General features: G+C 53.3%; 1 protein-coding gene and 1 long non-coding RNA gene across 2 annotated transcripts, besides 1 other annotated feature; one reads left to right on the top strand and one right to left on the bottom strand.

The window, feature by feature from the left end:
- Positions 1-11,080: 11,080 nt before the first annotated feature.
- Positions 11,081-20,346, bottom strand: LBX1-AS1 (LBX1 antisense RNA 1). The gene is made up of 3 exons (NR_029380.1): positions 20,126-20,346; positions 17,506-17,686; positions 11,081-12,001 (listed from the first exon to the last, which is right to left on the bottom strand). It is a non-coding gene; the product is annotated as an LBX1 antisense RNA 1 (long non-coding RNA).
- Positions 12,980-13,902: an enhancer, noted in NCBI's record as "H3K4me1 hESC enhancer chr10:102995795-102996717 (GRCh37/hg19 assembly coordinates)". NCBI's record gives its function as "activates a minimal SCP1, AML or CMV promoter by ChIP-STARR-seq in naive and primed H9 embryonic stem cells {active_cell/tissue: H9 hESC(naive and primed)}" and the evidence as "EXISTENCE:reporter gene assay evidence [ECO:0000049][PMID:30033119]".
- Positions 20,477-22,946, top strand: LBX1 (ladybird homeobox 1). Its single transcript, NM_006562.5, has 2 exons — positions 20,477-21,449; positions 22,150-22,946. The coding sequence occupies exons 1-2, from the start codon at positions 21,125-21,127 to the stop codon at positions 22,668-22,670; spliced, it is 846 nt and encodes a 281-aa protein (NP_006553.2). The 5' UTR covers positions 20,477-21,124; the 3' UTR covers positions 22,671-22,946.

Raw genomic sequence — 23,202 nt, 5'->3', positions numbered from 1 at the left:
ACTATCCCGCATGCTCAATCTCATAAGGTCTCAAGCCCAATTTCAGGATCAATCTTGCTTTCATACAGAGTATTGCAGAACACCCTATCGTACGCTCGCACAATCATCCACACTGCTCGACATCACACACAGGCTCCAACACCCTATTACAGACATAGCTTTCACATACACTTGAGGATGCTCACAATCACACGAAGATCCTCACACACGTACTGTCACATGCATACACAGCCTCGCGAAAGTCACACATAAGCCTTCATATCCCATCACACATGCGGTTCCTTACACACCACATCACCCGTATACCCTTTGCTTCATTACAGCCACACACAGTTCCTCACACTCTGTTACACACACACACATGCGCACACACAGTCTCTCGTACACGCAGACGGTCACGCTCCTGTTAGGCTTCTGGAGACAGGCATGTGCAGACCCTGATCACAGCTAAATGTCAGCGAGTCCCTCTCCTACCAGTTAGAGATGAATTGTTGCTCGGGAGATATTTCATCCTTAATGCCTCCTGCTTGAACTGGAGCATGCATCTCGGGGAGGTTACGTTTCTCCCGATCCGTCTGCTGTCCCCCGGCTGGCTCAGGGAGCTGCCCTCCTGCCTCTCAGCTTTCACGAGGGGAGAGGAGAGCTCCCCCTCTCCTTACAGCCTCTGCCCAACCCAACCCTTCCCTCCGGCCAGCTCAGCTCCAGGAAAAAGACCAAAGCCCAGGCAGCCGCCCAGTCCCCCTTCCCAGCTCCCAGCTTAGGAGATGTCCCCAGAGCCCAGGGGCCATAGCCTGGCCACACCCAACCCCTACCCCAGCTGCTAACTGCAGTCCGGGCCAATACAGACTCCGTGGCTTAGAGAAGAGTTGAGGATAGAGAGATAGGATGTGGTATCGAGAAGCCTGGCATTGAGAGACAGCCACTCTTAAGAGTTGGTCTGCACCCACATCCCTCCTTGTCATAAACAAAACCAACAAAAAGCATGATTGATGCCAATATGAGGGTAAATTAATACAACCTTTCAGGAGGAAAGTTGGGTAAGAAGTATCCCCAGCCTCCACAAAGTATACCCCCTTATCCCTAGCAATGTCTAGGACGGTATTGTAAGGAAATAAACAGGAATAGTCCAGACGATTTAACTTCAAGGGGCTCATTCCTGCCTTGTTTATAAGAGTGAAAAATTGGAAACAACCTAAACATCCCACAGTAGGGATTGGCAATGGTACAACCATCAACAGAATACCATGTAGCCATTAAAATGATGGCGTGGAAGAATGTTTAGCATCATTGAAAGACATTCACAATGTAACGTTGAGTAAAACAAGCAGGTTGCAGAACAGTATGTATACTAAATGCAATGTGGTAGCCTGGATTGGATCCTGGAATAAGAAAAGGACATTAGTGAGAAAACTACCGAAAGCCAAATAAAATCTGAAGTTCAGTCAATAATAACATACCAATGCTGATTTCTTAACTCTGATAAATATACCTTGGTAATGTAAGATGTTAACATTAGGGGAAAGTGCATAAGGGATGTATGGAAACCCTGTACTAGCTTTGCAAGTTTTCTGTATATCTAAAATTATTCCAAAATTACCAAAATTCCAAAATGGTTTATTTTTAAAACCATTATGTCTATATAATGTAATCCTCATTTTGGTTTTTAAAAAAGCATGTATAGCCCTTCCTCCATGTGAAGACACAGCTAGAAGCCTCCATCTCCGAGAAAAGGCCCCTCCCAGGCACAGTGGCTCATGCCTGTAACCCCAGCACTTTGGGAGGCCGAGGTGGGCAGATCACTTGAGGTCAGGAGTTTGAGACCAGCCTGGCCAACATGGTGAAACCCCGTCTCTACTAAAAATACAAAAATTAGCCGGGCATGGTGGCAGGCACCTGTAATCCCAGCTACTCAAGAGGCCGAGGCACGAGAATCACTTGAACCCAGGAGACAGAGGTTGCAGTGAGCTGAGATTGTGCCACTGCACTCCAGCCTGGGCAATAGAGCGACACTGTCTCAAAAAAATTAATAAATAAAAGAAAGAAAGAAAGAAAGAAACAAAGAAAGACAAAGGGCCCTCACACAACACCAAGTCTGCCAGTGCCTTGATTAGAAAGGATACCTGTATCAAGATCTGGGAGAGTATTCAACAACATATTACCATTGGTAATTTCTGAGGAGTAGGATTACGGGCCATTATTTTAATTATTTGAATGTTCTTTGTGTTTAATAAAGGGACATATACCACGTGCATGAATACAAAGGAAATCAAACCCGAATGTCACTAGGGATGCTGAGATTGGCTTCATGCCCAGCCACCCCAGCCAGCCTCCTTTGCCCCCCAGCATGGGGTTACTGAAGACCTGAAGGTCTTGAGCTATTCTGGACAGGATCTTTCACTTCCTGTCCAGCCACTAATTGGCATGACCCTCACTCCCTTCACTCCTTGGAAACTCCAGAATTTCAGGATCTGAACTTCTCTTATTTGAGCCCAATCCCTTATCTTCTCACCTCATTCATTCCTGTTGACTTGCTCTGTAGTCCCTGAAACTGTCTGCTTTCTCCCAGTCCCTCACCCCCATTCTGGCTTTACTTTCTCCCTTCTTACCCTGGTTCTGTATCAGCCACTTCAACCCTGTGCTTGCTTCCATCCTGCCCACCCTGCTCCAGCCCTAAGCAACACCATCAATTACTTTTCTGGCTCCCATTCCTGGGCACTCTAGAGCAGGTGAAAAAACTGACTCATTCATGCTGCCTCAACTAATTCCTTGTCACCATGTGGAAAACACTTTCTCTGCATCTGTAAGTGACTCCCTGTTACAATTCCACAACCACTACAGGCTTCCTCCATGAGCTTTCAACTCCCTGCTCTCCTCTCTTAGAGGACTGTCCCTCTTACTTGACCAAAAATATGGAGCCCATTCTTCAAACAATGTGCCCCACTCTACTTGTCCCCAAACCTGCCAGTCCACCTCAGAATCTCCCTGGATCATCACTTATCCTTTCTTCTCTCCTGTCTCTGAGGAGGAAGAGTTCCTTCTTCTTACCAAAGACTCAACATCTCGGGTGCCTTTCCAGAACTTTCTCCATCAAGCATCTTCTCCTATACCTTGTCACTCTTGGTTCTCCCTCCCTCCTTTCTCCTGGACTTTTTGTTTTTATTTATTTATTTTTTAATTTCAATTTTAACTTTTTCAGGCAGGGTCTCTCTCTGTCGCCCAGGCTGGAGTGCAATGGTGCCATCTGGGCTCACTGCAGCCTCCACCTCCTAGGCTCAAGTGATTCTTGTGCCTCAGCCTCCCAAGTAGCTGGGACTACAGGCACATGCCACCATGCCTGGCTAATTTTTTGTATTTTTGGTAGAGACGGGGTTTCACCATGTTGCCCAGGCTGGTCTCCAACTCCTGAACTCAAGTGATCCTTCCGCCTTGGCCTCCCAAAGTGCTGGGACTACAGGCATGAGCCACCACACCCGGCCTCTCCTGGACTTTTTGAATGAGTAATCGCCGTAATCACCTCTAGTTCTTTGCCATTCAACTCTTCATTCAATATCCCCACCACACTGTAGTCTCTTACAGTCGTCTGCGACCTCCAAATAACCACCCACTGGCCTATTACTCTGTCTTCCTCACTGATTGATCTGCACAATTTGATACTAATTCCCTCCTAAAAAACTTCTATTTGGGAGATTGAGGTGGGCGGATCACTTGAAGTCAGGAGTTTGAGACCAGCCTGGCCAACATGGTGAAACCCCGTCTCTACTAATAATACAAAAATTAGCCAGATATGGTGGTGTGCACCTGTAATCCCAGCTACTCAGGAGGCTGAGGCAGAAGAATTGCTTGAACCTGGGAGGCGGAGGTTGCAGTGAGCCAAGATCGCACCACTGCACTCCAGCCTGGGCAACAGAGCAAAACTGTGTCTCAAAAACAAAAACAAAAACACAAAAAACCCAAAACTGCCATGATCTCCAAGCCACTCACTCCCCTTCATTTCCTCCCTACTTCCCAACCACTCCTTTTTAGTCTCCTCTGACTTCTTTCCTTCCTCCAACTTCCTAAATATAGGGATCTCCCAGGATTCTGTTTCCAGTCTTGAACTACCATTCCCTCTCTCCAGCAAGCTCATCACTTCCCTGGTTTCAACGAGCTATCTGCTTGGAAGAATCTCTAACTGACAGCTTCTGACTTCCACTCTGGAATGTCCAACTTCCTGTTGGGCATGTGTGAGTGAACGTCCCTGGAGCACCTCAGACTCATCGTAAACATAATCATGATCTCTATCCCCTAACCCTAACAAGCCCTGCCTCCAGACTTCCACCTGCTTTCAAACAATCAAGCCTGGCCAGCCATGGTGGCTCATGCCTGTCATCCCAGCACTTTGGGAGGCTGAGGGAGGAGGATTGCTTGAGCCCAGGAGTTTGAGATCAGCCTGGGCAACATAGTGAGACCCTGTCTGTATTTAAACAAACAAACGAACAAACACACAAACAAACGAACAAAGAACAATCAAGTTTAACACCTAGGAGTCATTGGACTTCACCCTTCTCCTTCCTTATTTCCCAAGCCCATTCACCCACCAGGTCTGGCCAACTTTCCACTAGCCTCAGCTCTTGCCCACGCCCCTTTGTGTTCTGTCCTCTCTGCCTGCTCTGGTTCTGCCCTTCCTTACCTGAACTGTGGCAATACCCTCATCCATGACCCTCCTGCCTCCAATCTTGTCCCACTCATGCTATGTCCCACTCATGCTATTCCTACCATAGCAACAGCCCATAGCCCCTAAAGCTAGGGTGACCATATACTTTAGTATTCAAACCAGGAGGAGTGAAAGGAGGATCTGTAAAATAATAATAATTTAAAATAAAAAAACAATGTCAGAGGAACAGCAGGCATAAACTGGAACTACCTTGGGCATATGGTTATCCGAACTAAAGCATGTGCCTGATCACATCCCTCTCCAGCTCAGAGACCTTCCATGACCCCCACTGAATTCAGTTCAGACTCCTTGTGCTGGCATTCTAGTCCCACCTTTCCAGCTCTGTTCTACCTCTCTCTCCTAGTTTATACAGAGGCCTTTGAACATGACTCATGCAATCCTACTCTTGTGCCTGTGTTCATGCTGTTTCCTCCTTCAGAAACTCCTTGGCTCCAACTCTGCCCCTCAAATCCTATTCTTATTTCGAGACTCAAACCACAAACTATCCTCCATGAAGCCTCCTCTCATCCTCTTTTTGCACCTCACATTTCTTCCTGTAACCATTCGCATTTCCTCCTTACTGTATTATTTCTGTGCTTTGCTCTTTCAAAGATGCTGATTGGTGACTGCACATGGCTCCACTCCCAGCCAGCTCTTTGGCTGGGCAGCTGTTTACAATGTGTCCTGGCGTTAAAAGATGAGCTGGGCCAATCCGATTTCCTCTCCTGGGAATTTGAACTATGAAATACTGAGAGACTAGAGCAGTTAGCAGAGGTGATGTAGAGAGAGACTCAGAGAGGCCGGCTGGTCAAATGCAAGTCACGGTTATGAGAAATTATGAGGAAACCCAGGAAGCTCTCGGTGCTGCACGGGGGTCAGAAGCAGTTATGAGCTGGAGCTTGGGAGGCTGACCTGAGTGAGAATCCTTACTCTGCCACTTCCTGGCTTGAACCTGGAGCAGCTTACCTAACCTCCTTGAGCCTCGGTGTTCTCATATGTAAAATGGGGGTAATGATATTAACTAACTGCACGGTGTTCTAAAGAGGATTAATGGAGATAAGCATGGAAATCAATAGATCTGGCTCAGAATTTGTTAACAATTATTCTTCCTCCACTTATTATGATAATAATTATTAATTTCATTAATAATAATGAAGAAAGAGATAAAGAAGAAAGAGACCCTGTGGGGTTCCCTTCCACCTGACCAGGAGAGAGAAGTTGGTCCCCAGAGCTTCTTTGGTCCCTGCGTGCTTTCTGGGCCCAGTTCCAATGACAAGCCGTGTTTTTCAATACAAAAGGCCTTCCTTTTTCTTGTGATTACTCAAGTGAACCTCTGTTTCTTGCAAACAGAAGGACCCCTGCCCAGACCCCTGTCTTCCTCTCATGTCTGGACTTGAGCTTCTCGAAGTCCAGCACAATAGTCTGTCTACCTCAGTATCCTGCCTGGGCGTTGAAGACAGCTGATGCCCAATGCTTGGTAAATAAAAGAATGAATGAATGAATAAGGTTCCAAAGCCTTTGTGGGGAGCCTACAGAAATGCTGTTTTTAGGAGACTCAGAAGTCCATTGGGTAGACGGTTAGGGGAGAGTTCGTTGACAGCCCTGTCCCTCAACGCAGGACAGAAGGCAGGCCAGGACTGGAGCACTCTGGACCACTTGCCTACACCCTGCTAGGACTTTCCTTCCCTGTGGCACCAGGATAAGGGGCAGAAGGTGACAGAAGGGCCAACTGGGGGAAGACACCTGCTGGGTCAGGTTGCCAGCCTGCTGAAACAGGGTTAGGCCTGCCCCCTCCCCTGCCCAGCCTCATCCCCTCCACTCCTTCTCCCAAATCCCAGACCCCAGTTCCACTCACATCTTTTCAGACACTTCCCTTCACCATGTTTTCTTACCATGTCTTTGCTCATGCCATCCCTTCCCTTTCCGATGCCCTTCGCCCTCACCTCCCATGAAAACTCCTACCTGTCTTTTAAAACCCAGCTCAGAACCAGCCCCCTACTGGAATCTTCCTTGGATCTCTCAGGCAGTTAAATGCTCTTCTTCTGTGCTTCCGCAGTCTTTTTGGAGATTTTATGGGCCCCAGTTCATTGCTCCAATTACCCGTGTACTTGTCTGTCTTCCCCCAAAAAGGTCTCAAGGACAGGAATTGTGTCTTATTCATCATTGTGTCCTCAGTGCTTAATAAAAGTCTTAGCTCACAGTAGGCTTTCACTAAGTGTTTGTTGACTGTACAAATATAATAATAGATTAATCCACAGTTTCTCTCAGCTCTGGGATCCCTGGCTCCTGCTGTTTTCTCTTCTTCTTAGGCTGTCTTGGGCATTTCTTGAAGCCTTTCACAGTCCTGTGACTATTTCTCAATGGCATCACTACCCACCCCCAGTCCTGAGCAATGTCTGCTGTCCATAACACAGGACACTACAGGGCTATAGATCCAAAGCTTCTTGAAGCTAGAGATCTGGGAGTTAGGTCCTGAGCAAGGACCACAGGAGAATGAGGACACAGTGGAGTGAGTTGGCACCTTGATGTACTCATTGGCCATGTGGGGTCTGATGAGTGGTTTCAGGCTCTCCCTCCCAGGTAGGCCTCTGACCAGGCTCCAGGCATGGCTGCCACTTGCCTGACCTCCTACCTCCCCAGGCCGATGGCTGAGCGGCTGGCGGAGGCTGCACTGGGCCAGCCTGAGCAGACAGCCTTGCGCAATTGCTGGCTCCAGGCCTCCCAGCCCAGCTTGTAGCTCCCCCCAGAGTGACGGGATTGATTGGCTGCAGCCGGAATGGGCACCAGTCTCCCTGGCTTGGACAGAAACGGGGCCATCTGTTACACCTCTAGTTAAAAGTACATAAAGTTGAGCATTTGTGCGCCGACAATACCACCCCTGACACCCTCCACGCGGCACAGCGCTCCGGCTCCTTGGCAGGCTTGCGCCCCGCGACAGGCCGGCGCAGTAACGCCTACACGCTGGCTCGTTTGGCACTGCTGCAGGCACCATGGCTCCACCCTCCAGAGGCCTGCCCCAGCTGGGTCTAGCCTAAAATCTCAGATCCCACCTGTATTAGAGAATAAAAGGGAGGATTGAGGGGTGTGAAGGTGTATATTGGTAGGCAACACCTGTTCCAGCTCAGGGTGCTTGCTGGGCTGCAGATAATGCCAGGCTTCAGGCTGTGATTTGGGAGGACCCAAGACAGCTGCTCATGCCAGTCCTGGAGGGCAAGTCTCAGGCAGACCCAAGTTGCTCCTGTGCTTGGGTCAGATCTCTGGTTTCCTGGACTAAGCCAATTAGAAGAGTCCACTTTGTTTCCCAATAAGATCATGCCCCTTGAGTTTGGAGTCCCCAAGGCATCCTGTTACAGCAGCTAATGGGACTGCCCTAGACAAGACTGGGTCCTGAACTTTGCCCCTGCTTTCTGAGTTCTAGGCTTTGGTTTCTAGGCTCTAGGATGTGGATTCTGATTTCTGAACCCCATTTTCTGTTCTCTGGGTCTGGGCCTGGAGATTCAAGGCATTCCACAAATGCCTTTTCCTACTTGTCTTCTTCTGGTACTCTAGCCAGGCTAGCCTGCCTGCTCCCCAAAATGATTGTGGCCATTCCTGCCTCTGTCCCGTTGCTCTTGCTCCCCATCCAACCTAGGATGGTCTATTTCTTTTCTTCTTCTTCTTTTTTTTTTTTTTTTTTTGAGATGGAGTCTCACTCTGTTGCCTAGGCTGGAGTGCAGTGGTGCGATCTCGGCTCACTGCAACCTCTGCCTCCCTGGTTCAAGTGATTCTCTTGCCTCGGCCTCCCAAGTAGCTGGGATTACAGGCATGTGCCACCACACCCAGCTAATTTTTGTATCTTTAGTAGAGACGGGGTTTCACCATGTTGGCCAGACCAGTCTCAAACTCCTGGCCTTAAGTAAACCTTGGCCTCCCAAAGTGCTGGGATTACAGATGTGAGCCACCACACCCGGCAAGAATTGTCTATTTCTTCCCTCCAACCACTCAATTCTTCTCATGCTTCAAGGACTAGCTCTAGTCTCAGCTTTGCCAGCCAGGCTTCTCTGGCTATAGGCCCTTCTCTGCTCTGATCTGCAGAGGCTTCCCTCACCATCTGAATGGTTTCTTAAGAGATTTGTCCAGTATGAGTCTTGAGATCCTTCTGCACAGGCAGAACCTGGGCTGGCCCTTGTCTTATCCACAAACTAGCAAAGGGCTAGGCATGTGATGTCAGGGGAGGCTCTAGACATGCCCACTTGAACTCAGCTCAGCTGTAGAATAAGGGGGATAATGACTGCAGAGGTGGTTCTTGTTCCCCCAGTGGCCACCCTAGTGGCTCTGTCGGTCACAGCCCGGAAAGCAGATGGCCAGGTAGGCAGACAGCTTTTAGACACTGGTTTACTCATGTGTTTGTTTGATACACATTTATTGAACAGCTTCTATGTGCCCCAGGCCCGTGGTCAGCATGGAACAGGAGAGGGAATCATTTAAAAAAATGTGATTAGACACAGTCCCTGCCCTCAAAGTCTTATCCATTAGTATAAGACTATAAGTCCACAAATAATGACAATGCATCAAACCAACAAAAATCAACAGAAGTGCTCTTTGTCTTATGCAACAATGGACTCTTGGAGCTGGAAAGGACCCCAAAGTCAGAGACTCTGATATCCCATATTCAGCTAAAACATATTTATATACATTAAATGAAACAATGTGATGACAGCTTTTACTTGACACAAAGTGATGGTCAAATGAGGACAATATTGGTGATGACAATAAGACCGTGATTATTTTCCTTCTTAGCAAGCGCTAAGCCCTGCTTGCATACTCCATGTGTTGGGGGAAGCTCATTCCATTGTTTCCACTTTGATCCTTCAGAAAGCCATTCTCAAGGATGAGCTGAAATCAGCCTCCCTGTCCCCTCTCAGCAGTTCACTGGACTTGATTCTAACTCCCAGACCACACAGTAGAGCTGGGACTAGGGTGAGGCGAGTGAGATGCCCACGGCACAAAACCTAAGGGATCACACACAGAGCTGAGAGCAGATGCCTTCCTTAAATATGGCACCTCACATGCCTCACCCTAGTCCTAGCCCTGCCACACAGTCTGTGCCTCCTCCCCAGCCAGCCCCAGGGGGGAACTGTCAGATTTCTCAAGTAACTTAAGTCTCCAAAGGAGCTCTGACCAGCAGCCTACAGGATGTGTGTTGAGCTTGTGCAGCCCCCACTCCCAGGGATGGGGTGATGGGGGCAGAGGAAGACTGAGATTCCTAGGAGAGTATGGATTCTAGCCAGGGAGACTCACCTGCCCACTTCAAGCCTGTCCTGCATGACTCCTTCTGCCTGGCTTTGCCTGGTTACAGCCAACTCCCTCTCCCCTACAGCACAGGTACAAGCAGCCTAAGTAAGAATGGTGTGCCCAGATCTGGGCCCTATAAGAAGCCAGGTGGTGGGCTCTGAAAGACACTGAGCAGTGGGCCTGGATATAGAAAGTAATGAGGGTGTTTCTCCTTCCCATGGGCATCTCCAGGTAGGGATGTGTGTGTGTGTGTGTGTGTGTGTGTGTGTGCGCGCGCGCGTGTGTAGAAGGCAGAATGTAAGGTTTACAGAAAAACCCTGGAGAATGGGGGCGGGGAGGGGCATGGAGTCTGGAAGACAGTGTGACCAGCTACACTACTTCCTAGTTTGTTCACCTCAAACAAGCCACGTGATCTTTGTGAGCCTCAGTTTGCTAGCTGTAAAACTGGACTTAAAAAGACTATTTTCCTACCTAGAGGGAGGATTATGAGAGGGCCAACTGTGACAGGCCGAGATCCTGACTAGGTTCAGCTGTCTTCGTGGGCTGGGGTGAGGCCCAGGCATGCCGAAACCTCCTGGGTTCTGCCCAAACTGGAGTTGCACCCTGTCTGCTCGCCTGGGGTCCAGCTCGCTCTGTGTTGCCTGAAACCACTCCTGCAGCCTCTCTATTTCTCTCTGGCCCTCATTGATCCTGACCTTACAAATTCTCGATTTTTTCTTTCCTGTTTAAAAAATCCTGTCCACCTTCAAGGCATCTTCGGCCTCTCAAGATCCCTGAGAGGGAGGCAGTGATGGAATTCTTCCCATTTTCATAGATGCAAGCCAAGGCCCACAGCGGATTCGAAATGCAGGGTGTGGCAGGGGAGAGGAAGGGTGCTTGAATTCGGCTCTTCCAAACCCCTCCTCCCAGGCTGGCGGCCGAGAGGTCACAGAGAGACGCGCTAGGATGGGCGTGGGGGCTTCAAGGCGCAGGCGAGAAGGGCACCCAGGGCGTTGGACCCGCGCGGGGAGCGCGGCGGCCAGGGCCTACGCTTCCCGCGACCCGCCGGCAGCAGGCGCTGTGGCAGCGGCGCCCTCAGTCCAGGAGCATTAACTTAAGGATAGCTCACACTAATATCCCTGGCTGTGTGGAAACAGCGTTTTATTAAATGCTTCACACAGATTTGGTATAATAAAGATGAATATATTATATCCTTTGCCTCCCCCAGAGTGAGACAATAATAAGGGAGGAGGAAAAAAAAACTATAAAATGAAACATAAATACAACGTAATGGGACTTGGGGAGAGGGACCCGTGGCCTGTCCGGGCCGCCACAGGCGACCCCACCGCTGGCACTGGGGACGGGGTCACCGGGAGCCGGACTCCAGTCCCTCCTTGCCCAGCCAGAGGGTCCCAGGCCCTGGCTTCCACTCTGCTGCCCTGCAGGAGGAGGACCCGATCTCAGAGAGAGGCCCCTACAGAGGGAGAGAGTGGGGGACTGGCTAGGGCTGCTGTGGGTCCCGGGCTGGGGGTGCGCCCTCTTCCCCCAGCCCCTTCTCCCGTTAGGTCCAGGACTGCCGCTTGGGGACTAGGCCCCACAGGACAGACGCTTGAGGAAAAACAGATCCAAGAGCGATGGCTGCTCCCTTGGCCTGGGGAAGGCTGCCCTCGCCTCCTCGCCCCAGGGGCTCTCCCATAACATGCGGAAAGTTCCTCTTTAGGTCTTACTTCTATCTTTCTCCGGGCACTGCCAAAATCGTTTACCTGAAAATAAGAATTTCAAAGCTTTCCTAGGGCAGAAAGAAAGGAACGCCTGGAGATTCAGCCCAGCTCCTCTCGGCTTAGGTCACTCCAGGCCCTGCGAGGGCTGGATTCACCCGTCTAACGTCAGACTGTGTGGCTTAAACACAAGAGCCGCTCCAAACCCCATCTGCGTTCGAATCCCACCTGTGATGCTGGCCAGAGCATCGCGACCTTAACCTCAGTTTCTTCTTTGGCAAAATGGAGACATGGTGAGGATTGGAGGGAAGGTTTCTAATGCCTGGCACCCCATCGGCTGTAAAAAATAAAAATAAAAATAAAAAGTTATCAGCTGCTCCCAAAATACTCGTTAAAACAAACGGCCATTTCAGATCTAGAATTCTCAAGAACCTCACTTCCTCCTTAGGTCCCAACACAGGCGACTCCCTTTCTCAAACGAATGAAAAGATTTAGTCTCCCAACACCTTCTCTAAATCTCCTGCCTTTTACCAACGTCAAGACTCAGAGAGGTTGAAAGACTTACCCAGGATCACAGAGCTGGCTGGTGGCAGAGCCATCTGAGGCTAGGGAATCGCCAGCCCACCTCATCTGTCTCTGCGAAGACACCCGAGCTGCCTCTCGGAAGCCGCTCGAGACTCACAGTCCGGGCTAAGGCCACGAGGACGGCAAAGTTAGTCCAGGCCTCTCCCTAGGGGACAGGGCTGTGGCGGGTGGCACCTCACCAAACGAAAAGAAACGAATAGAAAGAAATACGTAGAGGCGGAGGGAAGAGGAAAGGAGACGGAGGAGGAAGAAGAAGATGGGGGAGGGCTGGTGGCCTCCCTGGAGGCTTGGGATCTGGCTATGCGGAATTCCCGTGAAGATCCCTTTTGAGGTCTGGTGCATGCCGGCCCCCGCAGGACTGGCGGAGCCAGGGCGGAGGTCTTGGCCCGAGGCTCGCCGCATAGGTGTAGGGAGGCTGAGTGGGGACAGGAGGGAGCGGCGAAGGAAGGGAGTCGACCTAATTAATGGAAGTGAAGGGGCTGGGGAGGAACTGGAGGGATTGAGCGTTGGTGGGTGTGAGATGGGATGAATGCAATCCCTCAGGATCGGGAACCCAGGGACTTGTGGGAAGTGGGAAGAGCCAAAGGGGCCGGGTTTCGCTCAAACGAAATAAGGTTTCGGAAGTTACGGAGTGTACCTAGGGGGCCGCGGGGAGACAGGGGAGTCTGGTCCTGCAGGAATTGCTTCCACAGGTCCAAGAAAGGCTGGGAGAGGCCCAAGTACGTGGGAGTTCAGAGAGGGCGGAGGGCCCTGCAGCTTCCCTGGCGCCTCACTTCAGGGCAAGGAAAGTCCTGGCCAGGACGAAGCAGCCCGGAGGGATCCCGGCTCTGAGCACAGATCCGAGCCTGGCGTCTTCACTGTGCTTGGAACCACGCCGCCCACGTTCCCTGTGCGGCTGGGCACTGCAGATGCTGGGTTTTCCACAGGTCAGACGTCCGCATCCCTTATTCTGGCTCCGTCTCGCCGCCTGTCTTCCCTTGCCCGGAGTCTCGGGACACCTGAGCGGCTTAGCTGAGGTAGCACTTCCCAGCAGGCGGCCCCCTGACCCATGGGGCCCGAGGGGGTTGGGACCGGGGAGGCTCTCTGAACTCGACCTGGGTAAATCCAGGATACTGGTGGGCGGGGGATCTTCCACCCGACTCCCTTTTCAAGTGCCTTAATTGGCTACTCCCCTCCGCGGGGAATTGGGCGCCGCGCGGCGGCGGCGGCGCTGATGCAACCGGCCCCCGCGCGACTGCTGAATTATTCACGTGCAGTTTATTTATTATGAGAAGCCTGACTCAGGCCTTTCCTGTGTCCATTTAGCCGGGCGGGCGGCTCCTCGGTCTCTTCGTCTGTCCCCACTAGGTCCTTCCACCTTTCCACCTGGCCTAAGCTCAGGCCCCATGCCCGGCCTGCGCCCGGCGCCCCCCGACAGTAGTGAGACCTCTGTGAAAGGGAGGGAGCTGACTACCATTAACGGTTTTTGGTCAGACTTTGATGTTTCTGGGCCGTTTGAGTTAGTAAGACAGAGGGTCAGCTCTTGGAGTTTCTGGGGATGGCAAGGAGAAGGGAACTCCAATTGTAGGCCCAGGAAAGCAGCCTCTCTCATCCCATCCCCACCCCTCACCCCACCCCATAAATAAGTAAATAGCCATCCCAGGAGTCCAGCAGCCCCTGGCTCTAGGCTGCAGACCTGCTGCCGATAAACAAGAGACTAAGGGTTTCACCCTTACCCAGTAGCTCACCGCCAGGACAACAGAGGGAGGAGCTATAGGGAACTCTGGAACCTCTCTTAGGGTGGCATCTTCGGGCTTGTGCTCGGCTGTTCCCTTTGCCTCCAGGATGGTCCCTGCTCCTGCACCTATTTACATGCTCCTGGTTTTACAAAGTTCAACTCAAATGCCACCTCCATCAGGAACAGAACCAGACTCTCCCCCCACACCGCGCCCCCCCCCCCAACACACACACACATGCTCACTTAGGTTCCTTTATCCTCTTCACAGACCCCTGGGCTACTGGAGTGGCGTGTGGGTGTCTGTTTCCTGCCACTCCTGCCTGCCCATCACCTCCCATCTTCTGTCCATTCTTCCTCTCTGCTTCTGGGCCCAACGAATGATGGGGGGGTCAATCCTATTTTCTTTCTTTCCTTTCCTTTTCTTTTCTTTCTTTCTTTCTTTTTTTTTTTTTTTTTTTTTTTTTGACAGCGTCTTGCTCTGTCACCCAGGCTAAAGTGCAGTGGTGCGATCTCGGCTCACTGCAACCTCCAACTCCCAGGTTCAAGCAGTTCTCCTGCCTCAACCTCCGAGAAGCTGGGACTACAGGAGCATACCATAACACCCGGCTAATTTTTGTATTTTTAGTAGAAACAGGGTTTCACCATGTTCACCAGGCTGGTCTCAAACTGCTGACCTCAAGTGATCTGCCCTCTTCGACCTCCCAAAGTGCTGGGATTACAGGCCCAGCCACTGCGCCCGGCCTTAATCCTATTTAAAAAAAAATCCAGCCTGGGCAACATCATGAAACTCCATCCCTACAAAAAATACAAAAATTAGCTGGGCTTGGTGGCATGCTCCTTTGGTCCCAGCTACTTGGGAGGCTGAGGTGGGAGGATCACTTGAGCCTAGCAGGTCGAGGCTGCAGTGAGCCCAGATTGTGCTACTGCACTCCATCCTGGGTGACATAGTGAGACCTCATCTCAAAAACAAACAAAAAAAGCAAATGAAGGAAGTTCATTACTAAGTCAGACCACACCACCACAGCTGGGTCCACAACCCAGGAAACTCACTCCATAGCCAAAAAGCATTAGAGAATGAGGCTTCTGGGCCCCTCTGAGTATATTGGTGTGAGCAGTAGGAGCACCGCACGCATCTGCAGGCAGCTGGCAAAACCAATACACCTACCCCTGGTCCTCTCTCTGAGGCACAGGCTAAGTTCCCTGTCTGGCTCCATTTTTGTCCCTTGTTTATTTATTTAGTTTATTTACTCAACAAATGCTTGGACCCCTTGGTGTATGCTGGGCTGGCATAGGGGCATGGAGAGGTGATTCAGGTCCTTCCTTCCCAAGTTCACAACAGATGGAGAGAGAGAGGCAGGACAGACAGACAAAGCAACACATTCTTGGCAATATGACAGTGACATCCAGGGGAATGTGCTAAGGAGCGCAGAGGAGCTGAACAGGGCAGAGAAGGTTTCCCCCAGGAAATGAGTTGAGCACTAGAGACAGAGCAGGAGGTGCCAGGAAAGGAAGGGACACAAATCATCCCAACCCTTGGATGAGGGGAGCAAAAGCTTGGAACCAAAAGAGAAGGCTGTTCTAGAGGCTGCAGAGAGTGGGCACCCAGGACTTGAGCATCTCTGGGAACTTGTCTCTTCTCCTCCCTTCCTGTCTCTGTCACTCAGTGGTCTGTCTATGTCCCCCAGTACTTCCAAAGGGCAAGCACTCCCCGCTCCTTCCAAGCAGGATTACAGTGCCTGGAGGAGGCTGGTGCATGTGGTATGGTCACCTTGTCACAGTGCTCTGAAGGAATTCAGCTCACAAAAGAAGTAGGGAAGGGGAGAATCAGGGAGGGGACCAAAGGAGTGTCCTGCCCTCAGATGGTGCCCCACGTCTTCCTGCCAGCTGAGGTCCTAAGAGCTGGGTGTGGCCAGAAAAAGCAGGGCAGGTCCAGGAGCAGGCTTGGAGCCCAGCCTGAATTTTGAAGCAGCTGCCTCCCTGCTCCCCAGGCCTGGGAGGAGGCCGCTTCCATCCCCCTTCCCCAGTGGCTTGCCTCCCTTCCCTACAGTGGCCTGATTCCAGCCTTTACCTTTTCTGGATCCCCACCCGCTTTGAGAATCCTGGGTGTTATATAATATTGCTCCCAGAAAAATGTGCCCACCTGGGTACACATATAAATTTCTGAGATTTACAGAGCCCCTGAAGCCCATTCAAAGAGCCCTTGGGGGACCTCTGGTTAAGAACCCCCTGGTTCAGGAATTAAGGGGACAGACTTGAATAAGAAACAAAACAAAACAAAAGGACAGTGTTCCAATCCTGATCACTCCAAAACAGGCTGTGTGACTTTGGATGGGTTACTTAACTTCTCTGGGCCTCATTTTCCTGTTATGTAAAATCGGGGTAAGAGCATAGCTACCTAGAAAGATTGTGAGTAATAAATGAAATGAATAAAACTCTTAGCCTGGAGCCAGGCACAAGGTAAGGGCTTATGGTATTTATTGTCATGGTTATTGTTGCTGTTACTGCAGACAGTGGCCCAGGGCAAAATGTAAAAACCAAGTGGGCAGTCCTGACTTAGCCTGGGTGGCAGGAGGCCGTTTATCATAGTCCACTTCCATAGGAGAAGAAACACTCTGAATTCCACACAGAGTGTCAGAGTAGCAGGTCTTCATGGGACAACAACAACAACAGTAAAATGATCCGCACTGCTGGCCAAGTTAACTTGTTTCAAGCAGTGTCAGACCCTTTTCTCTAAAGGAACTCTGGCCTGAGAGTCAATGCTGGTGCTTATACAAATAATCTGGAAATGAATGGGGGTACCAAAACAATCCAGAGTGAATCCAATGGAGTCTTTGGGGGTTTAAGCGAATTCTTCTCCTGTGTTAAGGTTTAACCTGTTTTGTTTGGGTCTGCAGGGTCCCCTTATTGTGGCAATTCATGAAATGCTGTTTCCCTCTTCTTTGTCTGGAATATTCCCTAAACTGAGGGAAAGCAGATTTTTGGCAGAATGATCCCTTCCCTATCCACTGAGAAAGAATAAACCTGGACCCTGGCTGTTTAAGCAGCAAACAGGAATTGAGGATCATGGTAGCATATAGATTATGCTCTGAAGACAGGTATTCCCTCTGTGGAGCAGACTCTGGGAATCAGCTGCTTTCAGCTCCAGGTGAGAAGATGCTGGCCCAGCTGACTGGGGGTGGGGAGACCCCCAGAGTGTCTGCCTTGCCCCAGCATGGGGGCTCAGTAGGGGATTGGGCAGAAAGATTGGAGCCCAGAATGTCAGGGCTGGCTCTACCCCCACTGACCCTGTGTTACTCATTTCTGGAATCCTCCTAATCTCTAAACTCCTCTGAGGGGCCCAAACCATTCCCCTCCACATTGCACAATCATGTATACCCCATTTGCTCTATGGAAAGTCATTCAACCGATATTCAGCGGGAGCCCGGTGTCTCCTAGGACTTCGAAGGTCCGAGATGAACTGGAATACCCAGAGGAAGGCTCCTGCCCTCAGGTCTGGCAGAGGAGGCAGGTAGGGGTCAGTACACAAACCCAAAACATACCTCATTGCTCTGCAAGAGGGGTACAAGAGGCAAGCGGATTGGGGTCCCAGGAGTCCAGAAGATTCCAGACCCCCACACAATGCGGTTTTTCAGCAGCGAAGGTAGGGGTGGGACCACGGTGTTGGGAAAAGGTTGGTGTAGCAGGTGGGCTGGTTTCCAAAGGTGGCCTGGATAAGGGGATCTGGGTGAATCAAAACAACAAAACACAGGGTGATACCACAGACTTCCCCACATCCCTGCACCTCACACTGCACTCCACACCCCAGCCATATGGTGTGCCCAAGTGTGTTTAACCAAGAGGCCAACCAATTAGGTCAAAAGAGCCAAGCCATAGGATTGGACAGCAGGTACAGGTCAGCCAGGGAAGAAGAGGTTTGGTGTTGGTGGTGGAGGTAACTCAGCAGATGATTGTGAGACGTCGTGTTCCTTTTGACATGGTGTGGCTGAAGACTAAAGATCTCAGTACTAGCCAGCAGGATAAGACATTAAGAACACGCCAAGCAGAGGGACCCCTCTGCTCCCCAGTTCATGTTCCCCTTCCTGTCAGCTTCCCAGTAACCCTGAACTCCGCTGGTCTTGAGGATCTGGGAGATGGGCAACAGCAGGGGATTGGCTTGTCCTTAAAGTCCTATCCTGTGGGCTAGTACCAGATGCGATGCAAAGACTGAAGAGGACAGGAAGGGTGTGGAAGTATGGGAGGAACTCTCTCTCTCTCTCTCTCTCTCTTTCTCTCTATTGGGATCCAAGGGTCCTTGTTCCTGGATCTAGAGGGGCCTCCCTGCCTCCCTGCTAGCCTCACTTGCCTGAGGCTCTGGGTCAGGGGGTTGGGGTTATGGCAGGAAAAGGCTGAAATGGGATCCTGAGGGCAGGAAGTGAGAGGACTGACCCCTCTTGGCCCCAGAGCTTCCAAGCCACCCAGATTCAGCTCCCCAACGCCCTCTCCCACCGGTCCGCCTCTGCTGGTCTCTAGGCTCTGACTCCTCTGTTGCTAGGCCCAGCAGCACCTCGTGGCTCCCAGGGCAGCGCAGAAGAGTAGAGACAGGTCTGCCCTGGAGTGGGTCTGCAGCTCTGAGGGAACTGTGATTCCCATTCTCACCAATCCTGCCTCTGAGCATTTGTCTTCCCCCCACTCGCTTACTGCCACCCCGAAAATGCAGGACAAAGATGAGTTAGAGGGTAGGGGTTCTTCCCAACATTCACAGAACTGGGGCACCAAACAAGAACCCTTTCTCCCTACACTGTCCTTTTTACCCCAGAGAGCTGCCAGCCACAATTCCAAACAAACAACTGAAGGTGAGATCATGAAACCTATCTCTGCTGTGCAGAGGCCCCCTACGCTGAGGCATCCAGAGAAAGAACCTGCTTCCCGCCCCGGAGCCCAGCTTAGCTCACTCCCTCTCTGGGGTTAGATATGAGGGGAGAGGGGGCAAGAAATCCTAATCTTCCCATTCCAACCCTTGGCCTGGGCCACAAATCCTCACTTTGGCCTCTCTGGGCCCTTTTCTGGTCCAAGCGGTGCTGCCCAATGCCCAACCTCACCGCCCACCCAGGAGTTTACAAACAAAGCCAGGGCCAGGGCTGTGTGTGTGTGGGAGGGGAACAGCCCTTCTCCCTGGACTCCAACCCCCTCTAGGTCCTCCCCTCCTTTCTCCAAGGGCAGAAATGGAAAATTAGTAAGGAGGCCAGTGGCCCCACATAAACAGAATGGGGTAGCAAGACAGGAAGGCCTGAGGGCACAGCCCTGCTGGAATGCCTCAGGGAAATGAAAGAAATAGCTGAGTTCAAACACACCTATATACCCACAGGTTCACACACATTTACACAAATATACGCATGGAGAAACACACACAAACACACATTCAAAAACACAAACACCTTCAAGTAACAATGCACACAACATGTTCTCCCGATATTCACAGATCCCGGGCCCTAAGGTCTTTAGCCCCAGCCTAACTGGAAGCCTGGCCTCCCTGCGAGTTCCTGAGAGCAAAGCCCCAGCCGCGGCCTGGCTCCCGCCGGGCCCCCGCCCCGCATCCGGAACAGCTGGAGTCGGCCTGGCCATGCACTCAAGCCGGGCGCTGGGCTAGGCGGGGCCGGCAGCGGGGCCCCGGCCGGGGCCCGGGCGGAGCGCAGCAGGGAGGCACGGAGCCGGCCCCGTTAGCCCCGGCACCTGGCCTGGCTACTCTTCAGACGCCCATCATCAGGCCGTTGGTGGCCCCAGCCAGCCTGGGGAGCGGCTGCCGGAGGAAAGTGAGCAAGATTGCCGGAGGAGGTAGGGCGGCCGCTTCGGAATCAGGCCGGGGAGAGGCGTCCAGAGCCGCCAACAATTCCCTCCTCCGCCTCTCCGCGTGGAGAAGGCTGAGCTCTCCGACTAGCCCCCTCCCCCAACCCCTGGGGTCCTCCACCCCCTTCCCGCGTCGCCCACCCAAGGCTGCGCAGCCGGCTCTGACCTCCTGCGGGCCAGCGCAGGAGGGCTTCAGATTCCCTCTCCCCAGGCGCGTCGCCCAGGCAGTGGGGTGAGGGGCAAGAGGGTCAGAGGTAGAGGCGCTGGGCTCTTGATCTCAGCTCCGCAAAGTCCACTCTGGGTGGCAGCGGGGCCCACCCGGGCTCCTGGTCCTACCTGGCCCGAGCGGCGGCCGCGTCCCTCCCGGGCTGGGGTTCCCACCACTCTTTCGGGCTCCACATCCCGGGTCGGAGAGACCGAGACCTTCGGGCCGGTGCGGTCATTGCAGCTAGGCCGGCGGGAGGCGGGTGCGCCAGGAGCGCGGCTCGCAGTTTGGGGTGGGGGCGGTGGCTTTTCAGTCGCCCGAGGTTCGGGTGCAATAAAGGAGCAGCTAATGTAATTTACAAACAGCTCGGGCCGAACGCAGCGCAGCGCCCGGACTGACAGGCGCATTAGGCAGGCTAATTCCAGCCGGCTCCTCCTACCCCCGGCCCGCTAATTAATGAGCTTCCCAACTTACAGCCGCCTGCATTGGACAGACAGAGAGTGAAAGAGAGGGCGAGGGAGAGGGAGAGAAGGAGAGAGAAGGGGGGAGCAGAGAAGAGAGAAGAGAGAGGGAGGGAGGGAGAGCGAGAACAGGAGGAGAGAACAGAGGCAAAGAAGAGAGGAAAAAGGGAGAAAGGAGAGAGAAAGAGAAAGAAGTGCCGCTGCAGATAATTGATTACACCGCGATCAAGGCTAACTTGTTAGCAATAGTCAATTGCCCCGTCTCTCCGCCTCCCTCGCAGTCCGGGATCGGCGCCCTCGCCTCGGCTCTTCCAACTGCGGCCGCCAGGACCCGGGGCCAGGAGCCACTGCCGAGCCACCTGACACCTTTAAATAGCACCGGGGTTGGCGAAACTGGAGCCCCGCGCAGCGCGCCCCGGCTCCGGCCCCGGATTGCTGGAAGCCCCAGCAGCAGCGGCGCCCGCGTCAGCGCCCTCTTCCCGGGGCCCCGCGCTGTTCTCCCCTCCTCAGCCGCCGCGCTAATCGGCCCCGCGCCCGGCCCGCGCCCTGCCCAGTGCGGCCTCCTTTCCACCCGCCGCTGCCTGCCCGCGCCGTCCGGCGCCCGAGCTGCCCGCGGGCTGGGTCCCCGCGGCCCGAGCCGCCCCGGCCGGGACCCCGAACAAGGCCGAGATGACTTCCAAGGAGGACGGCAAGGCGGCGCCGGGGGAGGAGCGGCGGCGCAGCCCGCTGGACCACCTGCCTCCGCCTGCCAACTCCAACAAGCCACTGACGCCGTTCAGCATCGAGGACATCCTCAACAAGCCGTCTGTGCGGAGAAGTTACTCGCTGTGCGGGGCGGCGCACCTGCTGGCCGCCGCGGACAAGCACGCGCAGGGCGGCTTGCCCCTGGCGGGCCGCGCGCTGCTCTCGCAGACCTCGCCGCTGTGCGCGCTGGAGGAGCTCGCCAGCAAGACGTTTAAGGGGCTGGAGGTCAGCGTTCTGCAGGCAGCCGAAGGTAGGCGCAGCTGCTGGGTTCCCCTGCACCCAGCGCCTCGCGCCCTGTGCCCTGCGCGCTTCGTCCCCTATGCCTCTGCTCGCCTCTGCCCTCTCCGGCCGCCAGGGCCTTCCAGCCTGAGCAGCTGCTTATGGGAGTGAAGATATGTGGGACGGGACCCAATCCTTATTTCCCAGGGACCTCTGGGTAGGCCAGAGCTGGGGGGTGGCAGGAGAAGGGTGGCCAAGCTCTTTCCGCAGTCTGCTTGCTTTGCCGGGCTCCCTTGCGTTCCCAGTGTCCTGGGCGCTCTTAGCCCGGCTACTCGGCGTGGGGAATCGAGAGTCTTTTGCCGGGGACCTTATGGGTAGGGTAGAGTTGAAGTGATTGGGAAGGGATGGAGAACCAACATTCACACCGCAATTAGGGTGTCTCTGTCTGGCTTTCTCATACCCTTAGAGACTTTGGGTCTTTCAAACCAACTCTTAGGTAGGGGGCAGAGACCAAAACAATTTTTCCTAGGGACTTCTGGGAGACCAAAGACAGGAGATGGTTTGCCATAGCCAAGACTTGCCCTGGTCCTGGAGGCTGAATTAAATCTGAGAAGGGAACATTGGTAGACTGCAGGCCGGACAGGCCTGGGTGGGTTACGGAGTTACGGGGGCGAGAGCCAGGGTGGGCTTCCTCTCTCCCAACGCGAGCCTACACTGTCCTTTCCTCCCAGGCCGCGACGGTATGACCATCTTTGGGCAGCGGCAGACCCCTAAGAAGCGGCGAAAGTCGCGCACGGCCTTCACCAACCACCAGATCTATGAATTGGAAAAGCGCTTTCTATACCAGAAGTACCTGTCCCCCGCCGATCGCGACCAAATCGCGCAGCAGCTGGGCCTCACCAACGCGCAAGTCATCACCTGGTTCCAGAATCGGCGCGCTAAGCTCAAGCGGGACCTGGAGGAGATGAAGGCCGACGTAGAGTCCGCCAAGAAACTGGGCCCCAGCGGGCAGATGGACATCGTGGCGCTGGCCGAACTCGAGCAGAACTCGGAGGCCACAGCCGGCGGTGGCGGCGGCTGCGGCAGGGCCAAGTCGAGGCCCGGCTCTCCGGTCCTCCCCCCAGGCGCCCCGAAGGCCCCGGGCGCTGGCGCCCTGCAGCTCTCGCCTGCCTCTCCGCTCACGGACCAGCCGGCCAGCAGCCAGGACTGCTCGGAGGACGAGGAAGACGAAGAGATCGACGTGGACGATTGAGCGGCGCCCCGGGTCTTCCGCCGCCCTGGGCTCCTAGCGCTCGAAAGCCCAACGCCTCCCGGACCGGACCGCCGAGGGGAGCTGGGACCTCCTCTGCCAACTCCCGCCTCCTCCCCTGTCCCCGGCCCCGGACTCGGCTCCTGGCAGCCGCCTCTTCCCTCTCGAAGCAATAAACCCAGGCTGGCCGGCCGGGCCGGCCGCCACCAGCGGCCTCCGCCGCCCCGGAAGCCCTCGCCGTGCAATTCTGTATGGCTTCTATATAAATATTTAAACCTATATAGCGGGTTCTTCCCACCGCAGCCTGATTTTTCCTTTCTTTTATTATTATTTTTTAAATCTCGGAGATTTCGATGTTTTCAAAGCTCTCGGGCTGCCGGGTTTGCTGAGGGCGAGACAGAAACCAGGGCGGGGAACACTAACCCTGCGGTCTAGGGGAGTGGCAGCTCCGGCTGTTTTGATTTTTCTCTGCATGTGGCGAATGCACCGGCCCGCTCCTTCCTCGCCTCCCTCGGCCTTATTGCAGTTGACTTCT

This window comes from Homo sapiens, chromosome 10 (assembly GCF_000001405.40).
Source record: "Homo sapiens chromosome 10, GRCh38.p14 Primary Assembly".
NCBI classification, from domain to species: domain Eukaryota; kingdom Metazoa; phylum Chordata; class Mammalia; order Primates; family Hominidae; genus Homo; species Homo sapiens.
Note: the sequence above shows the minus strand (reverse complement) of the source record. Positions and strands in the feature narration are given on the sequence as shown.

Excerpts from the sequence above, each read along its gene's own strand:
- LBX1 (NM_006562.5), top strand. The coding sequence starts at position 21,125 with ATGACTTCCAAGGAGGACGGCAAGGCGGCGCCGGGGGAGGAGCGGCGG. Across the intron at positions 21,450-22,149 it reads CGTTCTGCAGGCAGCCGAAG|GCCGCGACGGTATGACCATC; the intron begins GTAGGCGCAGCT and ends CTTTCCTCCCAG.